The 22,976-nt window shown below is 41.8% G+C and overlaps 1 protein-coding gene and 1 long non-coding RNA gene across 13 annotated transcripts in view, besides 1 other annotated feature; one reads left to right on the forward strand and one right to left on the reverse strand.

Moving 5' to 3' along the window:
• The window catches only part of ATP8B1-AS1 (ATP8B1 antisense RNA 1), a 38,953-nt gene extending 19,266 nt beyond the window's left edge, over window positions 1–19,687 (forward strand). The window contains exon 3 of the long non-coding RNA NR_164148.1: window positions 18,410–19,687. This is a non-coding gene — a long non-coding RNA (ATP8B1 antisense RNA 1). The remainder of the gene's footprint in view (window positions 1–18,409) is intronic.
• Window positions 1–22,976, reverse strand: part of ATP8B1 (ATPase phospholipid transporting 8B1) — a 156,890-nt gene that overhangs the window by 3,171 nt on the left and 130,743 nt on the right. For all 12 annotated transcript variants that reach the window (XM_047437547.1, NM_005603.6, NM_001374386.1 and 9 more), the window contains 11 exons: window positions 21,872–21,984; window positions 19,722–19,886; window positions 18,833–18,944; window positions 17,496–17,571; window positions 12,887–13,019; window positions 11,578–11,866; window positions 5,598–5,821; window positions 4,396–4,479; window positions 2,888–3,133; window positions 2,438–2,576; window positions 771–901 (listed from right to left, as the gene is read on the reverse strand). In XM_047437547.1, the coding sequence (XP_047293503.1) occupies window positions 771–901; window positions 2,438–2,576; window positions 2,888–3,133; window positions 4,396–4,479; window positions 5,598–5,821; window positions 11,578–11,866; window positions 12,887–13,019; window positions 17,496–17,571; window positions 18,833–18,944; window positions 19,722–19,886; window positions 21,872–21,984 (1,712 nt within the window). The remainder of the gene's footprint in view (window positions 1–770; window positions 902–2,437; window positions 2,577–2,887; window positions 3,134–4,395; window positions 4,480–5,597; window positions 5,822–11,577; window positions 11,867–12,886; window positions 13,020–17,495; window positions 17,572–18,832; window positions 18,945–19,721; window positions 19,887–21,871; window positions 21,985–22,976) is intronic.
• Window positions 188–337: an enhancer, noted in NCBI's record as "active region_13377". NCBI's record gives its function as "activates an Ori minimal core promoter by ATAC-STARR-seq in GM12878 lymphoblastoid cells {active_cell/tissue: GM12878}" and the evidence as "EXISTENCE:reporter gene assay evidence [ECO:0000049][PMID:35858748]".

Genomic DNA, 22,976 nt, shown 5'->3' on the forward strand with positions numbered 1-22,976 from the left:
CCCCCCAACCCCTCACAGCCACATTTCTCATGGGCGGTGGGCAGGTTGATTTCCCTTGCTAAACTAGTCCAGAATGGGCAAGTGACCTAATTTTGGCACGTGAGACCTGAGGGCACTGTACTGGGGCCCTTGGGTGAGAAGTTCCACGGCCCCTAAGGAGCTACAGAATAGGCTCTTATCTCCCCCCGACACTGATAGGTCAGGAAGTGATACCCAGAACTGCTCTGGCCATCTTCCAGCATCCATATGAAGCTAATAATGAAGGTTTCTGAGAGAAGAGATGGCAAGAACCAGCCCAATCCTTTCTTGACAACATTAAATTGCTCAATCAACTGGGCCTGAAGCCTACTAATGATTAATGATGACGCACTACTGTAGAGATGTTTTGAGTCACAGCTTTCTGTTCCTTGTAGCTCAAAGGATCCTGCTACAGAAGGTGACATTTTTCTTAAATAAAGAAAAAAAACCCAATCTGATTTGTATGACAAAATGTTAATACTGTAATTGTTAAACTGAGGAGATAGATATATGGGGCTCATTCTGTTCTCCCTTTTTTGTTTATGTTTGGTAATTTTTGTATTAAAAAGCAAGCACACTAAACTCCCAATTCCAAAAGACTTATTTGTGAGATAGAGTTAAAGAGAAGCAATCATGAAAAATCATTCTTACCAAACTTCCCATGAGCTTAGAATTTTGCAGGAAACGTGCTGTTGGGAAACGCTTTGGTTTCTGTGAGGGACAGAGTTGGGAAAGGACTATATTCTTTATACCTTATCACTTTCTGATGGCCAGATGGTCATTGACAGGAATCGAATGGCAACGACGGGTAGTAAGCACACAGCAACAGCCAGGATGATAGTTAACCAAATGTATGGCTGTCTCAGAGCGTTTGAAGCTGTGCCTGTAAAGAACATGGCAAATGCATCACTGTGGTTCTTTTTTCCTAAGAACATAGTTAATATTTCGCCAGGTGTGGTGGCTCATGCCTGTAATCCTAACACTTTGAGAGGCCAAGGTGGGTGGATTGCCAGAGCTCAGGAGTTCGAGACCAGCCTGGGCAACATGGTGAAACCCCGTCTCTACTAAAATACAAAAAATCAGCCGGGCATGGTGGTGTGCACCTGTAGTCCCAGCTACTCAGGAGACAGCAGAATTGCTTGAACCCGGAAGGCGGAAGTTGCAGTGAGCCGAAATTGTGCCACCGCACTCCAGCCTGGGTGATAAAGCAAAACTCTGTCTCAAAAATAAAAAATAAAATAAAAAAAAGAACATAGTTAATATTTCATAATCTATAAATAGATCATTTATGGTAAAGTTTTACAACTGGATTGGCCTCCCCAAAATATCCATTATGGCTCAAAGAACAGACATTTTAAAATCAGACTAAGCAAAGCAAAATTGGGAAGGTAAATTATTTGAAACAAGGCAAATTTACATAAGTGAGCAAATAAGGAAAAAAAGCACATTTGTTGACATTGCATTGATTAAAAATGCAAAGTTAGGTGATCAAGACTTCTGACTTTTTTTTGAGATAGGGTCTCACTCTGTTACCCACGTTGGAGTGCAGTGGCGTGATCATGGCTCACTGCAGCCTCAACCTCCTGGGCTCAGGTGTCCTCCTACCTTAGCCTCCTGAATAGCTGGGACTACAGGTGTGCGCCACCACGCTTGGCTAATTTTTGTATTTTTTGTAGAGATGGGGTTTCACCATGTTGCCCAGGCTGGTCTCAAACTCCTGAGCTCAAGTGATCCACCCATATTGGCCTCCCAAAGTGCTGGGATTACAGGCGTGAGCTACCACATCTAGCCCCAGTATTAGGTTTTATGGGAAAGAAAGAATAGGCTTTTATCCAGCCTTTTAAGTCTTAAGTTATCTAATTCAACACACGTACAGCGCTATTGTAAAGCTATTTTAATTTGTCTTCCTCCCATCATGTTATGCCCTTTCAACCCACCATCACCATTTAATTTCCAGACAAGACATTAATTTTCACTAGCAATAATAATTTGTATATATTTGTTTTGTTGTGCTTTGTTTTTTTTGTTTTTTTTTTGAGACAGGGTCCCGCTCTGTCACCTGGGCTAGAGTACAGCAGTGCCATCACGACTCACTGTAGCCTCAACGTCCCAGGTCAAGCAATCCTCCCACTTCAGCCTCTCCAGTAGCTAGAACTACAGGCATGTGCCACCATGCCTGGCTAATTTTTTTGTATTTTTTGTAGAGATGGGGTTTAGCCATGTTGTCCAGGCTGGTCTTGAACTGCTGGGCTCAAGCAATCCACTTGCCTCGGCCTCCCAAAATGCTGGGATTACAGGTGTGAGCCACTGTGCCCAGCCATTCCACCTTGTATATTTTATTACTTAACAGAAGTTATGTCAAAATCTAAACTAATGACATTTGTCTGTACATTTATTTTTGGAATTTGGAAATACCAACCTGTAAATTGAAATGCAGATGGAAAGAGAACATGTATTCCAGCACTATGAAAGTCAAACATGATGCCAAAATAAAGTGCAATGCTTCCAAAAATTGAAAAAGCATTCACAAAAGTCCAATAAGAAGTATCCAAGCCAATCTGTTGGGAAACCAGAGAAAAACAGAGCACTCATTTTGGGGAGTTAGCAAGAAATAAAGGATCTAACAATCCTGAAAACAGAATTCAGCAAGTTAGGCATGATGTGGCTTGAATACTGGACCAGAAACTAAACCATCCTTGACTCAGGCAAGAAATAGAAAATGTGCTTGGTATAAGAGATGAAAATAGCATTTATATTTTGTAAGTGGCACAGGTGCAGTGGGAGTCAGGTGGATGTGCATGCCACCCTATATACAGAAATATAAGTAGGTACCAATAGACACTGAATACGGCCAATGAAAGCCACGTACCTGGAAATTGACTGTTATTACAAGAGCAGAGGCAATGGTGACGGCAAAAGACTGGTAGTCGGAAGGTGCCTCTCCATCCTGCCCTACGGTTTGCAGATAAGCTCCAAGAGGTATGAAGAAGAGGATCATCGATGTTAGGACCCCATGCAACAAGCTTACAAAGAATCTCTTATAGTTGAATAGTAAGTCTCTTTGTCCCACTATGTATAACCCAGGGAATCGGAGGCTCAGTTTGTCACTCACATCCTTAAGGAGAAAACAAAATGATGGTATTTTATTCATCAGGTCAAAGCAGTCAGAGATATGTTATAATTAATATCTCACAAAAAGTTGCAGCCTGCTGTTAAATTTTAGGAAGGCAAAAACTGAACAAGATAATCGATCAATCCTGCAATATTTGTGGTGTGCAGAGCTCAACCTCATTGCTTAGACCACCATTACTTAATATTTAATTCAGAGAAGGGCTAGGTATAAGTTTATTACTTTGCTACTTATGGAAAGAAAACAAATTAGTAATGTCCAAAAATATGTAGGGAGGCTACTGTTTTTACCTCCTGAGTGAATATATATTGTTGCAAATCCTTTGGGAAAAAATTTTCTCATACAAGTTGATGAGTTAATTATAAATTATTACTTTTTAGTCTTTATAGTGCTTCTTTCTTTTTAAGAATTGGTATTAGATAAAAATATGCACTAGCTACATAAATTTTGGAAAGGATTTAAACTGACTTTAAAATGAGTAAATTATTATTGTGGAGACATATTGGACTCTCGGGTGCCTTTTTTTCCTTTTCTTTTCTTTTTTTTTTTTTTTTTTTGGAGACAGGGTCTCACTTTGTTGCCCAGCCCGGAGTGCAGTGGCACAAACACAACTCACTGCAGCTTCAACCTTCCAGGCTCAAGCGATCCTCCCACCTCATCCTGCCAAGTAGCTGGGACTTCACAGGTGTGCACTACCATGCCCACAATTTTTAAATTTTTCTGTAGAGATGGGGTCTCCCTATGTTGCCAGGGCTGGTCTCAAACTCCTGACCTGAAGCAATTTGCCTGCCTCAGCCTCCTAAAGTGCTGGGATTACAGGCATGATCCACCATGCCCTGCCTTCAGGTATCTTCATAGTAAGCTCTTACTGTCTAAAAGGAACATAACAAATATGTGTGCCAATGAATTCAACCCAGTCACAGAAATCCTCTTTTCTCTTTTTTTTTTTTTTTTTTTTTGTCTTAGAGATGGGGTCTCACTTTATTGCCCAGGCTAGACTTGAACACCTGGGCTCAAGTCATACTCCTGCATCAGCCTCCCGAGTAGCTGGGACTACAGAGAAATCCTCTTTCCTTATTACAAAACAAGAAGCACAGCCATGACCCTTGATGCCTGACAACAGAATTATAATAGGGTTTGATCAGAAAGAAGTAAACACCAGAAGAATGCATTGAAACGTTTGCTTGGGACTTCTCTAACGCATTCTCATCTGTCCAGAAGTGTCCCTGCTTGTGCGAGGCTCCTACCTGGTCGAGCAGCCCCATGAGGAGCACGGGCAGGCTGGTGTACAGCACGTTGTAGAGGGTGATGAACCAATCCTCGTATGCAGTCTGTGAGGGGATGACAGAGGCTCCATGTCACCAACAAAGACACATGCCAGCCTAGTTAGCACATACTCATCTGCTTCCTTTATTTAACATTTTGTTTGTTTGTTTGTTTTAATAGAGATGGGGGTCTTGCTATGTTGCCTAGGCTGGCCTCGAACTCCTGGCCTTAAGCGATCTCCCCATCTCAGCCTCCCAAAGTGTTGGGATTATAGGCAAAACTCTATGCACCTGGCCTGTTATCAATATTCTTTTTTTTTTTCTTCTGAGACAGAGTCTCACTCTGTCGCCCAGGCTGGAGTACAGTGGCGTGATCTTGGCTCACTGTACCTTCTGCCTCCCAGGTTCAAGTGATTCTTCTGCCTCAGCCTCCCAAGTAGCTGGGATTACAGGCACACGCCACCATGTCTGGCTAATTTTTGTGTATTTTGTTGAGACGGGGTTTCACCATGTTGGCCAGGTTGGTCTCCAACTCTTGACCTCAGGTGACCCGCCCACCTCGGCCTCCCAAAGTGCTGGGATTATAGGCGTGAGCCACTGCACCCAGCCCTGTTATCGCTACTCTTAATGTCAACATGAAAAAATAACCAAAGATAAAGATAAAAACATACAAGCAAATCCCCTCCTTTTTTTTTTTTTTTTTGAGACAAAGTCTTGCCCAGGTTGGAGTGCAATAGCGCAGTCTCGGCTCACCACAACCTCTGCCTCCCAGGTTCAAGCGATTCTCCTGCCTCAGCCTCCCGAGTAGCTGGGATTACAGGTGCCTGCCACCACACCCGGAAAATTTTTGTATTTTTAGTAGAGACCAGGTTTCACCATGTCGGCCAGACTGATCTCAAACTCCCGACTTCAGGCGATCCACCTGCCTCAGCCTCCCAAAGTGCTGGGATTACAGGCGTGAGCCACCATGCCTGGCCAAATCCCCTCCTTTCTAAGGTAAAATGTTTTTACAGCACCAGAAACATTTAGAGAAGTCATGATCATTCTTAATTATGCCCCAACTGTAAGGAGACACAGCCCCAAAACTACAAATATAGAAGAAATAAATTGTCTTTTCAGAACTAGATTTTTATTCATTTAAGAGCTCTACTTAGTAAATAACAATAATAACAACATTACATTACCTGCGCAGAGTAGCCATTGAAGAAGGAGTACCAGAAATGAACCAAAGTAAAGGCAAAGTTTTTGTAAAAGAAGTATCGTAGGAACTTGCACATCCTTATGTAAGACCATCGGCCATGCACCAGCAGTAGCCTCTGCAGATATCGGAACTGAGCAAAGGAATAGTCACTCGACATGACAGCTTGCATTCCTTCTTGTCCACTTATTCCAACGCCAATGTGGGCAGCTATGGGGCAGAGGGAGAAAACACTGTGGATCATAAACCGATTGTGAGGCAAAACATCAGTTGATAAAAATGGTTCCATAGCAAACAAAAAACAAAGACAGACATTGATGGAACAATAATACAGAAGCTCTTGCTCACCATCCCTCACCCCCAGCTCTTGAACTCAACTCAAAGTCTGAGTTACAAGTTGCTAAACAGAGCACACAGTAGGGCCTCCATAAATATCTGGGAAAGGATCTCATGTGGGTGACGAATTCCATTTGGATTATCTGCCAAGATCACAGCCATCCCTTCCATCCACAGGGTGAGCCCCAGGCACCCATGTGTACACTGTGTCCTTGCCTCTTTGGCAACAGCTGTGTCAGTCATGGGCAGATATGTAATTTGTGGTAGATACTACAAATCGGCTCCCCCAACTTCATTCCATCCTTGTTCTAATTAGAGAGGTGGGAAAGGAAATAAAAACCCTACATTTCCCAGACTCCCTTGCAGCTAGGCTCTTTGTGAATTAGGTTCCACTGTTTAGATCCACTTATGACTTGGAAGCAGAAGTGAATCAGAGCCCAGCATCGCTTCCTCTTTTGGGATTTCTGCAGCAGAGCTCATATCTACTTTCCAGCTACCTGGATGTTGACAGGCAACTATAAAGGCTTCTTAATTTGGAAGCTCTTTAGAGGAACCTCTTATCACTTACCAGAAGAGTAGAAGCTCTTCTGGTAAGTGACCCAGCCTAGACCCTGCTTCTGTAGACCATCCAGAGCTTTTGAAAGTACCTAGTCCCCTGTATGAATCTTTTCTTGCTTAAATACCAACTGGGGTCTGTTTCCTGTGCTAAACCCTGACTGACAGAAAACCCAAGCTGAGCCAGTCTCTCTCTTGATATTCTGGAATTAGAAGTCAGTTATTTTGTGTCTAGAATTTTAAGGTCTAAATTCTTGAGGTAAGAAATAGTTATATTTCTTTCTCTCTCTTTTTTTTTTTTTTTTGAGATGAAGTCTCACTCTGTCACCCAGGCTGCAGTGCAATGGCGCAGTCTTGGCTCACTGCAACCTCTGCCTCCTGGGTTCAAGCGATACTCTTGCCTCAGCCTCTCGAGTAGCTGGGATTACAGATGTGCGCCACCACACCCAGCTAATTTTTGTAGAGACGGGGTTTCACCATGTTGTCCAGGCAGGCCTTGAACTCCTGAACTCAGGTGATCCACCTGCCTTGGCCTCCCAAAGTGCTAGGATTACACACATGAACAACTGTGCCTGGCCGAAATAGATATATTTCTTCCTGAAGATTTCTAAGGGGCAGAGAAATAAAGTAGTGGGGAGAGAGGGGTGGGGAGGAGGGAGAGAATGGAGGGAGAGAATGGGGGGAGAGAAGAGTGGGGAGAGAAGAGTGGGGAGAGAAGGGAGGGAGGGGAGAGAGAGAAGGAGGGGAAGAAGGAGGAAAGGGAGAGAGAAGGGGAGAGAGACAGACAGACACGGGGTTCCTGGTGCAAATCTATGTCCTTGTTCCAGTATCTTCCTGAGGCCTGGCTTCTTCTTGGACAACAGGAGGTGTTTAAATAAATTTACTTTTTTCTTTTTTTTCTTTTAAGTTACAGGATACCTGTGCAGAACGTGCAGGTTTGTTACATGGGTATACGTGTGCCATGGTGGTTTGCTGCACCTATTGACCCATCCTCTAGGTTCCCTCCCCTCGTCTCCCACTCCTCAAATTTAATTTTTTCTTAAGCTAGCTTTGGTTGTTCTCCAATACTTGTAATCAAAAGAGTTTTAACCAAGAAACTATTAAACTTTCAAAGTCTTATTCATGGCCCTCTGGGACCTTAAGACATTTTTTTTTTCTTTACGGGGGAAGGTTTCCAGAATATATAAAATTAAAGTCACAATTTTATTTATGCTTCCAATAGTCATAAATAACACTTTCAAATTAGAGAATGATTAGTTTTGTCTGGGTCTTAAAAGTAACGAATGTGAAGATAGACAAGATCATTTAGAAAAGATATGTTGGAGAACACAACCTATCATTGCTCAGACCCTGAAAAGTGGCTGCAATGCTGCGGCGTTCCAACTAAAAAGAAGCTTCAAAAATCCTGCCCTAGTTACAGAACACAAGGTCTGGCAAATTCAAAACATAACTGTAGTGATGTATCCAAACCTACGTTTTCAGTAACACTTCTAAAAAAACAGAACAAACTGCATCTCATATAATATTTATGTTCTCTTTGAAAACACACAAATATTTCCTATGACCAGCATGGTTGCCAAACTTGCTCTTTCCTGCCAAACCATGGCCTTTTCTTTCCTGAACAAGCCACTGAGGAAAATGCTGAGATTCTCTTGGCTTATGTGGCTGAGGAAGAGGAAGCCCTGCCCCAGGCCCTGGTATCCAGTCCTCAACCTTCCCGCTGAGCAGACCAAGGACAAATGTGAAATGAACACTGTCATAGTTCCCAGGGCAACCAAAAGCACTGAACAGATACACTATAAGGTAACATTGGTCTTTTTTGTAAAATTTAAGTACAGGCATTTAGAGTTTCCTGAAATCTCAAATGCGGTGTTAGGTGCCTCACTGGTAGACATTCTTTTATCATTCCTTAACAAAAAGAATATTTCCTCGCTACAGCAATAATCCCTCTTGCCTTTTTTTTTTTGAGATGGAGTCTTTTTCTGTCGCCCAGGCTGGAGTGCAGTGGTGCGATCTTGGCTCAATGCAACCTCTGCCTCCTGGGTTCCAGTGACTCTCCTGCCTCAGGCTCCCGAGTGGCTGGGATTACAGGTGCCCGCCACCCCCATGCCCGGCTAATTTTTGTACTTTTAGTGGAGATGGGGTTTCATCATGTTGGCCAGGCTGGTCTCGAACTCCCAACCTCAGGTGATCTGCCTGCCTTGGCCTCCCAAAGTGCTGGGATTACAGGCATGAGCCACCATGCCCCACCTTGCCTTTATCTCTCTCCTGCTTCACGTACATTCTCAGGGTCTAAGACCAAGAAGAGACAACATCCACCCAGCTGGTATGAGATATCTTCAGGTAGGATAGAGGGAGAAGGCAGCCTATGATAGTCCTTGGATCCTTGCTAGGGGCAGAAACATGGTGGGTCATGATTCCTTCACTTCTTCCAGACTACACTGCTAAACGTGAATGTTAGCAAATGCTCAGATTATTTTTTGACACTTGAATAATTTCACTCGACTACTTTATGACCAACAATTTCTTTGTGTGTGTGTGTGTGTGTGTGTGTGTGTGTGTGTGTGTGTTCTTTTTTGTTGTTGGAGAAAGGGTCTTGCTCTGTCACCCAGGGTGGAGTGCAGTGGCACAAACATGGCTCACTGTAGTCTCAACTTCTCAGGCTCAAGTAATCCTTCCGTCTCAGCCTCCCACGTAGCTGGGACTACCGGTGTGTGCCCCATACTTGGCTAAACTTTCTGTATATTGTTATTGATGTGGTTGGAAGAAATGACAGCTTTTACAAAGTACATAAAGGCACTAATACTACTTGTATAACTTCTAAGGAGACCCCTAAAGTTTCCTATATTTTTATCCCAAAGGGATGCTCTATAACTTATATATAAAAGTACCTGGGGCCAGGTGAGGTGGCTCATGCCTGTAATCCTAGCACTTTGGGAGACTGAGGCAGGCAGACTGATTGAGCCCAGGAGTTCAAGACCAGCCTGAGCAACATGGCAAATTCCCAACTCTACAAAAAATACAAAAATTAGCTGGGCATGGTGGCTCATGCCTGTAGTCCCAGCTACTTGGGAGGCTGAGGTGGGAGGATTGTTTGAGGCCAGGAGGTGGAGGTTGCAGTAAGCCAAGGTCATGCCACTGCACCCCAGCCTGGGCCACAGAGGGAGACCTTGTTTTTTTTTTAAATGCACCTGGCATATAACAGTGCTTAATAAAAATTTTAAGACAACTTAAGAAAAACAAGCCCCTCTAAGATTATCTACATTGACTTTGTGCAATCCCTCTCATTATGTATTGGTGAACTCAGAGGAACAAAATGTTTCAAGTCTAAGTCACATAATCAGTTGATAAATCTCCAAAGCAAACCCGTCCCCTCCCATTATCTAGAAGGCTACTTTATAACTGAATAAAAATCATGTTTGACTTGTCCTTTTGGCACGGCTAGTTACGTTAAAGGTACGTAATGGAAAATAAACTAGAGCTGGCTGGCTATGGAGGAAAGAGATAGATCTAACTCCGAGCAAGCAATACCATTCGCATGGTAGGGCAAGCACATGCAAAAAAAAAAAAAAAAACAGTGTGGATGAATTAAACTGCTAGTGACCACAGACATACGCACTGATAAAGAAGGCAAGATGACATACGTCATACAGCTGACTCCTGTTGAGGAAGATAAAGTTGGAATATTCTTAGTATACATCAAGGAGGAGGAGGAGACTAAGAAAAGAAAGAGACAGACTCATGAGTCACAAAATAGACTGAAAAGTCTAGTTATATATAATGCATTTAAGCAACCCAGCATCACAGGAACATGCAATTACCTATGTACAGTCAGGTAATACTTCAGCTCAGTGATAATAATACGACAGAGCTGGAGGTGACATTAGGGATTATTTTCTTTTCCGATGAGAAAACTGAAACCTGAGCATAAGCCCAAGGTGACACCGGATTTTGGCAATAGGATGAGGATGAATATCCAGGTCATTAGTTTGAGTATTTTTAATACAAGATACTCCCTTATAGTGACAGAGGGAGGAAAAAGGAACAGAATTCAGACATAGAGATGAGGGCTGTGGGTGTGCTTCTGCAGGCTTTAATACCAGCACAACTGTATTTCTGCATGGCAGGACTCAATATTTTAATTGTGTGGACTTAAATTCTAGCATCCAGAAAAAGGCAGCCTTCTAGGGAGGTGAGGAGGATGATGAGAGCACGTGGAAGCTTTTCTTCAGTGCTAAACATGTTACTCTAAACTCACACCAGGTGACCCAATGATGAAGTTCCCACAGATTTACCAAAGGTAGGAAGAAAGTCCCAGAAAGAAATGCTTAGATGAAGGAGAATGATATTGTCAAAGCAAGCACCAGCCAGAGTTCAATAATTTATGTCTTACAAAACTTATTAAATATCAGGGTTTTTTGTTTTGTTTTGTTTTTTTGAGATGGAGTCTCACTCTGTCGTCCAGGCTGGAGTGCAGTGGCACGATCTCAGCTCACTGTAACCTCCGCCTCCTGGGTTCAAGTGATTTTCCTGCCTCAGCCTCCCGAGTAGCTGGGATTACAGGTGTGCACCACCACACCTGGCTAATTTTTGTATTTTTAATAGAGACGGGGTTTCAGCATCTTGATCAGGCTGGTCTCGAACTCCTGACCTTGTGATCCACCTGCCTCGGCTTCCCAAAATGCTGGGATTATAGGCGTGAGCCACTGTGCCCAGCCAATATCAGGGCTTTTAATAAACCCAAAATATGGGAAGAGAACCAGTAAGAGAGAAAAAAATACACAACATCTATATAAAAGAATAAAAATATAAGGATAAATTTCCCCCCATAGACCTTATTTTCCTCTTCGCATCCTTCAGAAGCCCTGTCAGTGATACTCTTTCCTCCTGATGGGCTGTGGGCTTTCTGGGGGTAGGGTCACAGGCGTTGTCATGGTTAAGTGACTTTATGAAACATCTGCTCTATGAAAACCTAAGCTGTAAAATCTAAAAAAAGAAAATCCACCCCCTACACATTCCAGCCATTTCTCCTCTCTAGCACGTTGGGCCTCACTGGCCGTGGGTGCATGACTCACTTTTGATCATGTTCACGTCATTGGCCCCATCTCCGATGGCCAGCGTGATGGCTTTCTTGTACCTCTTCACCAGGTCCACCACCATGGCCTTCTGCTTGGGGGTGACGCGGCAGCAGATGACTGCGCTGCACTCGCAGGCCAGGTCCACAAAGTTTTTCTGCCGCTGCTCTTTCTTAGCTTCTAGCCTCCTTTTACTTTGGGTCCGCATCCGTCTTTCTTCTTCTGTTCTTGGGAACTTCAGCTTCAGAATCTTATTTCTCTTGGTCTTTTTCTCGAGAAGAATTTCATTCTGTGAAATCAGAGAGGGAAAAGGTTACATTCACTTTAGTTTTACCCCAGGAGTACCATTCCCAAGATTTAAATTATGTGAAGGATAATTTTTGGATTATGTCACTGATTATATTTGACAAATAAATTTGATTTTATAACCAAAACATGTATATATATGTGTGCGTGTGTATGTATATACACACGCACACATATATGTATGTGTGTATGTATATACACACACACACACACACACATATATATATATATATATTTTTTTTTTTTTTTTTTTTGAGATGGAGTCTCACTCTGTTGCCAGGCTGGAATGCAGTGGCACGATCTCGGCTCACTGTAACCTCTGCCTTCCAGGTTCAAGCAATTTCCCTGCCTCAGCCTCCCGAGTAGCCGGGACTACAGGTGTGCACCACCACGCCTGGCTAATTATTTTTTTTGTATTTTAGTAGAGACGGGGTTTCACCATATTGGCCAGGATGGTCTCCATCTCCTGACCTTGTGATCTGCCCGCCTTGGCCTCCCAAAGTGCTGGGAGCACAGGCGTGAGCCACTGTGCTCAGCTATATATATATTTTTCAATGGAGATGGGGTCTTGCTGTATAGCCTGGGTTGAAGTGCAGTGGCTATTCATTCACAAGTGTGATCATTGCATGCTGCAGCCTCGAACACCTAAGCTCAAACCACCCTCCTGCTTCAACCTCCAGAGGAGCTGGGACTACAGGCGCATGCCACCACATCCAGCTTATAAAATATATATGCAACAAAAATTTAGAAAATCTAACAATCTATAAAGAAGAAAATGAAAAAACCCATTAATTAGTAAACCAAGATAACCACTTTTACCTCTTTGGTATACATCCTTTCATATATCATATATTATTAAGTCTCAAACTTGGAAAAACCACACTTTCATGTATAGGCTAAGAGACTTTTAGGTTGGCAGTTAACATGTGAAAGCATCTAAAAGTGGCTCCAAATGAACTTCTTTCTTTTGAGTTAAAGGCACAGATACACTAATGATACGTACCAACCAAGAACCAGTGATGATTAAGGCACGGTTTCCACCGGGTGGAAAAAAAGATTCCTGCACAGGAGGTGCAAACTTTGCGTAGACGCCACCTCTATTCCTCTGGTTTTCCATCCTTGCATGAAGAAGAGAACTAGGGGAAACCAAATTTCAGTGTTTAAAGTGTAAGACCCTAAATAGGCCCTTGACTCTGAGATAACTTTGACTTAAAAAAAATTGTGACAAAAAAACAAAGTTTACCATCTTACCTATTTTTGTTTCTTTATTTTATTTTCATTATAATTTTTTTGAGAGAGGGTCTCACTCTGTCACCCAGGCTGGAGAGCAGTGGCATGATCATGGATCACTGCAGCCTTGACCTCCCAGCCTCAAGTGATTCTCCTGCCTCAGCCTCCTGAGTTGCTGGGACTATAGGCACACGCTATCACGCCTGGCTAATTTTTGTATTTTTTGTAGCAATAGGGTTTTGCCATATCCCGGGCTTTGACCATTTTTAAGTGTACAACTTAGTAGTGTTAACTATAGTCACATTGTTATCCAACCAATCTCTAGAACTTTTTCATCTTGCAAAACGGAAACTCTATACCTATTAAACAATAACACCTCACCTCACTCGCCCTCCAGTCCCTGGTAACTTCCAGTTAACTTTCTGTTTGAATGAATTTGAGCACTCTAGATACCTCATATATGTGAAATCAAACAGTATTTGTCTTTCTGTGACTGGTTTATTTCACTTAGCTTAATGTCTTCAAGGTTCATCTATATAATATATGTCATAATTTCCTTCCTTTTTAAAGTTGAATATATTCCATTATGTGGAAGCACCACATTCTGTTTATCCATTCACTCACTGATGGGCACCTGGGTTGCGTCCATCTCTTGGCTGCTGTGAACAGTGTTGCTGTGAACATGGGTGTGCATGTATCTCTTTGAGATCCTGCTTTCAATTATTTTGTGGATATACCCAGAAGTGGGATTGTTGCATCATATGGTAATCCTTTTTGAAATTTTTTGAAACATCACCATACTGTTTTGCATAGTGGCTGCACCATTTTATATATTTCATCAACAACACACAAAGGTTCCTTCAACAATGATTGTTATTTTCTATTGTGTTTTGTTTTTGATAGTAGCCATCCTAAAGGGTGTGAGGTGTTATCTTGCTTTGGTTTTGATTTATCTTCCCCTAATGATTAGTGATGATGAGCCTCCTTTCACATGTTTATCAGCCATTTGCATGTCCTCTTTGGAAAAATGTCTACTCAAAGTGCTTTGCCCATTTTTTTTTTTTTTTTTTTTTTTTGAGGCAGAGTCTCGCTCTGTCACCAGGCTGGAGTGCAGTGGTGTTATCTCAGCTCACTGCAACATCCACCTCCTAGGTTCAAGCTATTCTTCCACCTCAGCCTCCCAAGTAGCTGGGACTACAGACGGGCACCACCATGCCCAGCTAATTTTTGTATTTTTAGTAGAGACAGGGTTTCACCATGTTGGCCAGGATGGTCTCAATCTCTTGACTTCATGATCCACCCGCCTCAGCCCCCCACAGTGCTGGGATTACAGGCATGAGCCACCACGCCTGGCCAGCCCTTTTTTTTTTTTTTTTTTAACTGAGCGACATGTAATTTTACTATGTCTCGATTCATCCACCATGGGGGTACCATGTAATTCATCATTTTTCAAAGACAGTCAAAGGAAGATACAGTTGAAAATGTATACACAGCAACAGAAGAAAGGCAATCTTAGGCCAGGCACTGTGGCTCACACCTGTAATCCCAGCACTTTGGGAGGCTGAGACGGGCAGATCAGTCGAGGTCAGGAGTTCGCAGCCAGACTGGCCAACATAGTGAAACTCTGTCTCTACTAAAAATACAAAAATTACCCAGGCGTGGTGGCGGTGCCTGTAATCCCAGTTACTTGGGAGGCTGAGGCATGAGGATCACTTGAACCCAGGAGGCGGAGGTTGCAATGAGCCAAGATTGCACCACTGCACTCCAGCCTGGGTGACAGAGTCTTTCTAAGAAAAAAAAAAAAAAAAAAAAGGAAAGGCAATCTTGATCTGAATTAGAATACTGGCTATTGTTTGTTAGGAATAAACTTATTTTCATATAAACAAAACTATATCTGTGTTTGAGAAATTCTCAGTGCTTTATATCAACAAATTAAATGTTTGTGTTAAAATGATATATGTGACAAGGCTACGTGTAACACTTTCATGTGATAGAAAAATGAGTCATGAAATTTTGGAGTGGAAGGGACCTTAAATATCTTGTCCAATCTCTTCATGTTACAAATAAGGAAATCAAGCCAGAGGAAGGTGATGTGATTTGCCTGCTGCAGGTTGATAGGAAAACTAGAATGAGGACTCAGTTATCTTGTAACTTCTGGCTCAGGACTCTTACTATTACATACAAAAAGCCATTGTTCTTCTCCTTCCAAAGAAGGCTTCTCAGCCTTTGCACTCTTGATGTCTTGGGCCTAATAATCCTTTATTTTGTGTGGCCATCCCTTGCACTGGAGGATGTTTAGCAACATCCCTGGCCTCTACCCACTAGAAGCCAGGAGCACTTCTCTGCAGCTGAAACAAGCAAGTGTCTCTGGACAGTGCCAAAGGGTCCCTGGAAGGCAAACTCACTCCCCACGGAGAATCACTGCACTAGAGGATTAAGTATCTAGTATCCCTTTTCCACATCAATTTAATTCTCATTTTCAAGTTAAAAGTGAGTGACTAAGACAAATCATTGAAAGGCCGTAAGAGAAAAAAAATGAAGATACCTTCTATTCAAATCATTTTATAGGAATCATCAATTTAAGAGCCACCTGGGAAGATGATTCCTCTCTCTATAAAGGTAAACTCAGCTAAGGGCATGGTCACAACATTTGCTACTTGCATACATTTTATCTTTTACTTTAGCTTCGGGACCAATTTTTAAGACTTTCAAAAGAGAGACCAGAAATTTTTTTACAGCCCCATCTACAAAAAATAAACAAAGCCATATAGTAATTAATCAGATTACTTGAAGCCCAAAACTACTAAAGTAAACTCATTAAGCATTAAGCATTTATTTGTCTGTTGCTACTTTTTTTTTTTGAGACGGAGTCTTGCTCTGTCACCCAGGCAGGAGTGTAGTGGCACTATCTTGGCTCACTGCAACCTCTGCCTCCCAGGTTCAAGCAATTCTCCTGCCTCAGTCTCCCGAGTAGCTGGGATTCCAGGCACATGCCACCATGCCTGGCTAATTTTTGTATTTTTAGTAGAGACGGGGTTTCATCATATCAGTCAGGCTGTTCTCAAAATCCTGACCTCGTGATCCACCCGCCTCGGCCTCCCAATGTGCTGGTATTACAAGCATGAGCCACCGTGCCCAGCCTGTTGCTACTTTTTTAAAACCTAAAAGCACAAAGGGGCATGGCTTATGTACCTCTATTTGGGCACATAAACTAAATCAGTTCTAAATGGAACTGATTTAGATCATAAGGCTACTGATTTTGTCTAATTTGACGGAATACCTAATATACTAGAACAACTAGAAAATGCTTTATCACCATCATTAGAAATAAGACTAATATTGACCATCAATTCCCTCATCACTTTATCACACCTGGCAAATGTGTATGTTAACAGTTTAATCTGACCTCATGCTGGCCTGAGAGAAGCTCTGTAGGGAAAAATCTTGAGGAACTGTCAGGCCATCAGTAAACACATCACAGTAACTGTGTGCAGCATATTTATAGCTTCAGAACAAGACAGGGCTTTTTCATCATACATTTCCAGGTCTGCTGCGACTCTGATTCAAAGCTAACAAACGTTTCAGCATATGCTAACATTTGAATTATCAGGCCTGCCCCACCTAGACTAGATTACAGGGGACCTACATGATGTAACCCACCCACACATTTCCTTCCCGCAAAAGTTTTGGGTTTTTTTTTTCCTTTCTTCTATTTCCCTTTCAAAAGTAAAAGTTCCTAGAAAAAGCAAAATAGGACTATAATTCATATTAATTTGCTAGCGATATTACAGGCTTTTTACGGAATTTTTAGTAGGTGAACCGAGTTTTTTTTTTTTTTTTAATGAGACAGAGTTTCACTCTTGTCACCTAGGCTGGAGTACAGTGGCGTGATCTTGGCTCACTGCAACCTCTGCCTCCTGGGTTCAAGTGATTCTCCTGCCTCAGCCTCCCGAGTAGCTGAGATAACAGGCACCGGGCACCACACCCAGCTAATTTTTGTAGTTTTAGTAGAGACGGGGTTTCACCATGTTGGCCAGGCTGCTCTAGAACTCCTGACTTCAGGTGATCCACCCGCCTCGGCCTCCCAAAGGGCTGGGATTACAGGCATGAGCCACTGCGCCTGGCCTGAGCTGAGAAGGAATGGAGAAAAATGGCCTCTGAAGGGCCCCAAGTTTCCCTAAAAGTAAAATCTGCTCAAATTTAGGCTGCACCTTGATTACTTGGAACTGCCTGTTGTTGTCTTGCCTCATTTAAACATGAGGAAACTGCCCCAAGTGACACATCGTAACCCCTATTTCTTCATATCTGCTATCTTCTACAGACAGTCTTGCATTTGCAAAGATGAGCTATTACGTAATTTCATACTGCAGGCTTTTACTCACTTAATATCCTCCCCATAGCAGATGGTGGTGTCTTCAGTCAGAAGTTCACAAGCAAATCCTATATTTTCAGCAGTTTCTACAATAGAATAAAATTAAGTCAAATGTCATTCCTGCTGTTTTTATTTTATTTTATTTTGTTTTTTGAGACAGCATCTCACTCCCACTGCCTAGGCTGGAGTGCAGTGGCACAATCTCTGCTCACTACAGCCTCAACCTCCAGGATTCAAGTGATCTGCCCATCTCAGCACCACCCGCAGCCCCCAAGTAGCTGGGACTACGCAACTCGCTGCCAAGCCACCAAACAATTTGTGTTTTTTCTAGAGATGGGGTTTTGTCATGTTTGCCAGGCTCATTCTTACTGTTGAACTGAATAATTGATTTTACCTAGTAATGATATTTTTTAGTTCATGAACATAACCAGATTCACACAAACACACTATTTTTCTATAGCAATCTGTAGGAATCACATGCAGAAGAAAAATCCTTTTCTCCATAATAAAACAAGTGAAAGTCAAAGTCTAATTTGAAATGTTTTCAATAATAAAATGTGCTATATTATCAAACATATAAACTGGTTATTTAGTAAACCAATGTTCATTAAATTACTAAACACTCTCAGTTCCTGGTTCAATTACTCTGTTATTGGCGGGGGGCGGGGGCAGAGGGAAGCATAATAATTTCCACCAACCCTTACGTGAAGATTTTTTTTCCTTTTAAATTACCACCCAATTTGGCATTTATTTAAGGTCAGGGCTGTGCTTCCCATAACTTTGCAGAGTGTGTAACCCGTTGACGATTTCAGCGCAAGAGACATTATTTGATTTCTTGTGGAAGGCTTACAAAGTAAAGTATCAATACCAAACAAGTGCTTGTTGAGTTCTAAAGTTAAAAAATTAAAATCGTTCTTTCCTTAGGTATACAATTTTATTGCCAAGCAATAAAATTGGCAAGAAAACCAAAGTTATTGTTCAGTACTTTGTATTGTTCTACTCTGTGCCCACCAAATGTCAAAGCACTGGAAGGACAGAGGGACAAGAGGGATGGCCCTTTCAGGACGGGAACCCACGTCTGGCTGGAGAGATAAGACCAATTATAATCAGCAAGACATGGCCAGGAGCTAAATTATAAGGAAGAAACTGCTACTGAGGGGGATCAGGAAAGGATGCAGAAGAATGTGCTGGAAAAACAGAGGAGGGTTTCTCAGAAAAAGCATCTTCCGTCCAAAGAAACAGTGTTTGTACAGGATGAAAAGTCTGAGGAGGTCATCTTGGGCAAAGGAAACGGCAGCTATAAATATTTGTGAATTAACAGATATGCTTCCCTGCACAATGAATTACCCTTTTTGTCTCCAGTAAGCACCCAGATCTTAATGTCAGCTTTTGCAAGTTTTGAAATGGTTTCTGGAACTCCATCCTGTAGCTTGTCTTCAATAGCTGTAGCTCCCAGGAGCTAGAATGTATATTAAAAAAAAAAAAAAAAGGAATTAGCAAACAAACCAAAAGTTTTCTGTAATTACAGGTTGCCAACCTGTAAAAAGAAGGGCTAATTATACATCCTGGTTGCTGCTCTCCTGGGGCCAATGGCCAGTGTTAACAGGGAAGGCTGCCATGTTTCACAATTACTGCAAACCAACACACCTAAAAACTTTTTCCCTAAAGGATGAACTATTTAATTTACCAAGACAAAAATGCAAGTACAAAATCAAGGATGTTAAAAATACACTTTTCTTGTGTATTTGTGGCTTTATACTGACATAAACCGTAAACCAGTTGCAATACTAGCTATTTGTTGAATATTTTCCACTTATCTAAACCCTACAAAAACTATGTATTAAATTTGGAAAACTTTTAGAAACAATATATTTTTCTTATTTCAAGATTTTGCAGAATATGAATTGTTTCGGTAATTCCCCCAATGTAATAAGTATTAGATGCAGGTTTGTTATTGTTTAAAAATTATAATAAATTTTAATAAGTGATATACAAATTATGGAATTAAATTAGAACTTCTCCTAATGTATTTTGTCTTTTGGTTTCTCATAATGGCAACTTCTGTTCTGCTCCTATTTTGGTGAATAAAAGAAATAACCTTCTTCCATTGTGCCAGTGTCAAATGCTGAAGTTACAATTATCTCTTAAGCATGAGATCAAATATTCAATAAAACTTAATAAAAATTTCAATTCTGCTTAGAATATCAAAGAAAAAGTTATTAAGGCTAAAACTCACAATTAAGTCTTTTTCAATCTCCTCATATACTTTATCCAGAGCTTCGTCCCGGTTGGTGGAGGCCACACTGGCAGCCATAAACTTTTTATTCCATTCTGTAAATTCTTTTTCTTCAATTTCCTTGTAGCAAAGGCATAGGGTTCTAAGAGTTTCATTTGCAAAGATCTGTTTTATTTAAAAAAATAAATCCACCAATGCAAAGAATAGTTAATTTATGTAATTCAGGATCAAGTCTGAAATTTTACTTTGAAGTAATATACTAACAGAATTTAAAAAGAGATCATTAAACATGACAGATTCTGTACAAATACACTTTAGAGAGGGGATTAAATGTCACTTTTTTTTTTTTTGAGACAAGGTCTGGCTTTATCATCCAGGCTGGGATGCAGTGATGCAATCCCGGCTCACTGCAACCTCTGCCTTCCAGGCTGAAGCCATCCTCTCACCTCAGCCTCCCAAGTAGCTGGGACTACAGGTGTGCACCACCACGCCTGGTAATTTTTGTACTTTTTTTTGTAGAGATGGGGTTTCATCATGCTGGTCTTGAACTCACGAGCTCATGTGATCTGCCCAACTCAGCCTCCCAGCGTGCTGGGATTACAGGCATGAGCCACTGCACCCAGCCTAAACATCACTTTATAATAGACTTTGCTTTTCTAAACTTCTATAGGGTCCAGGACTGCACTTCCAGTTTCCAAAGGGAAAAGCTTACCTTTCTTCTAAATCTTCTATTACCTTTCTCATTTTCTCATTTTCTCTTTTTCTCTTCATGACTAGGAAAATATCAGACCAAGGGAGCTGCCTTGGGGTGTAATGACATAAGCACGAACCTGACAACTTTATAACTTGTTCCAACAAACTGTGATACAAGTCCAATCACCTATGAACTCTCCACTAAGCATTATTCCCTCAAACCAATTCTAAAATACACAAGCCATTGTTAAAGCTGAGGTCAAAGCTTTTAATGGAAAAGAGTATCTGGCAATTTTCCCATGATGAACGATTCAAACATTTTCTTTTTTTTTCTTTTTCTTTTTCTTTTTTTTTTTTTTGAGATGAAGTCTCACTCTATCGCCCAGGCTTGAGTGCAGTGGTGCGATCTCGGTTCACTGCAACCTCTGCCTCCCTGGTTCACGCCATTCTCCTGCCTCAGCCTCCTGAGTAGCTGGGATTACAGGCGGGTGCCACTGCATCTGGCTAATCTTTGTATTTTTGGTAGAGACGGGGTTTCACCATGTTGGCCAGGATGGTCTCGATCTGTTAACCTCGTGATCTGCCACCTCACCCTCCCAAAGTACTGGGATTACAGGCGTGAGCTACTGCACCCAGCCTGATTTAAACATTTTAAACAGTTTCAACATGAACCAGTAAACATCTCATTACTTTATAGTCACATCTTTTTTATTTTGACCAAGTTTTGCTCTTGTCGCCCAGGCTGGAGTGCAATGGTACGATCTCGGCTCACTCTACCCCCTCCCTCTGGGGTTCAAGCGATTCTCCTGCCTCAGCTTCCCAAGTAGCTGGGATTACAGGTGCCCACCACCACACCCAGTTAATTTTTTTGTATTTTTAGTGGAGACGGGGTTTCACCACGTTGGCCAGGCTGGTCTTGAACTCCTGACCTCAGGTGATACACCCGCCTTGGCCTCCCAAAGTGCTGGGACTACAGGCATGAGACACCAAATACTCAATCAGTTGAACCGCTTCTGCCATCTTGGCTAGACAAGATGTGACCTATAGTCAGCTCTGTCATCCTGTCACATATGAATGCTTTCCTTCCTTTGCACTACAACTTGAAGTTAGTGGAGGTCTTGGGGACCACACACATAGTAAGACTACAACCTAGTATGGTTATGTAGCTTGCTCAAGGCCACTGGAAGAGAGCTAAGCCATTCCCCTGCCTCAGTCCTATAGACCTTGAAGACCCACATGCTGGGAGAGGGCACCATGGTGATATCCCAGGAAGTCAGTGGCAGGGGCAGAACTGGGACCCAGGTGGCTGTATTCCTACTTTACTGCTCTTTCCACCCCAACTATTGCAAAGCAAAGGGAGGGTCAGCAGTTAACATACAGCTTTCATGCAAACTTAACAGACAGCATCAGAGAGTAAGTTCAGAATCCCTTGCAGAAAGAATAAAAGTGAAACTTACATCCAGGGCATCCTGTGTTTCTTGCTTAGTAGGATTCATTCGATGTAACCGTTCATAAATAACAGTGTCAGCACCTTTACAGTAAAGCTTGATATTGCCTTCTGGGGTTCTTACTGGTAGTAAAAGAAGGAAATAAACACAACAAAGTTTGATTTTTTATATATATATTTTTTGAGACAGGGTCTTGCTCTGTTGTCCAGGCTGGAGTGCAGCAGTTCAGTATCGGCTCACTGTAGCCTCGACCCCCCAGGCTCAAGCAATCCTCCCATCTCAGCCTCCCGAGTAGCTGGGACTACAGGTGCATGCCACCATGCCTGGCTAATTTTTATTTTTATAGACATTGGAGGTCTCACTATGTTACCCAGGCTGGTCTTGAACTCCTGGGCTCAAGCAATCCTCCTGCCTCAGCCTCCCAAAATGCTGGGATTACAGATGTGAGTTACCACACCCAGCTAAGTTTGATTTTTTAATAGAAAACTACATTTATAAAGTTAATTTGAAATGTTACTATCTCATAATTCACTGTTAGCTTAAAACCATCAGTTCCTCTAGAAAAGTGTTGCCTTCAACAAAACTGGTAAGTCATTATCTACATTGAATGTAATAGTGAAATAAATATAAAAAGATTCCTTCACAGTCAGCTCTGTTTTTTATAACCTCAGTTATTCTTCCAACAAATATTTACTGACTCCCTACCATGTGCTATGCCATGTTCTAGTTACTTTCTTTTGTAGACTTTTTCTCCATCCAACCAACAGGTAGTTTCTCACCTATGAACTCACAACACTTACTGCTTTTAATACTTCGACCACAACACCACTCCTAATGACCATTTTTTTTGGGTTTTTTGATTAATGCAATAATTGTAATACATCCCTCACTGTTAACCAGATTTTAAATCAAGGTAGATGGCAAGCATGATAATCAGTCTAGATCTGTGTAAGGGACACAGAAAGCGTTCAGTAAGTGTGCCTAAGGAGGGTGTAATAGTTAAACCTGTATATTTTTATTGGTTAAAAATTCAATCATAGTGGAGAAGGCTTGTAGATACCACCTTAACCAAGTGATCAAAGTTAACATCCCCATTAATGAGACAAACCAATAA

This window comes from Homo sapiens, chromosome 18 (genome assembly GCF_000001405.40).
Source record: "Homo sapiens chromosome 18, GRCh38.p14 Primary Assembly".
Lineage (NCBI taxonomy): Eukaryota > Metazoa > Chordata > Mammalia > Primates > Hominidae > Homo > Homo sapiens.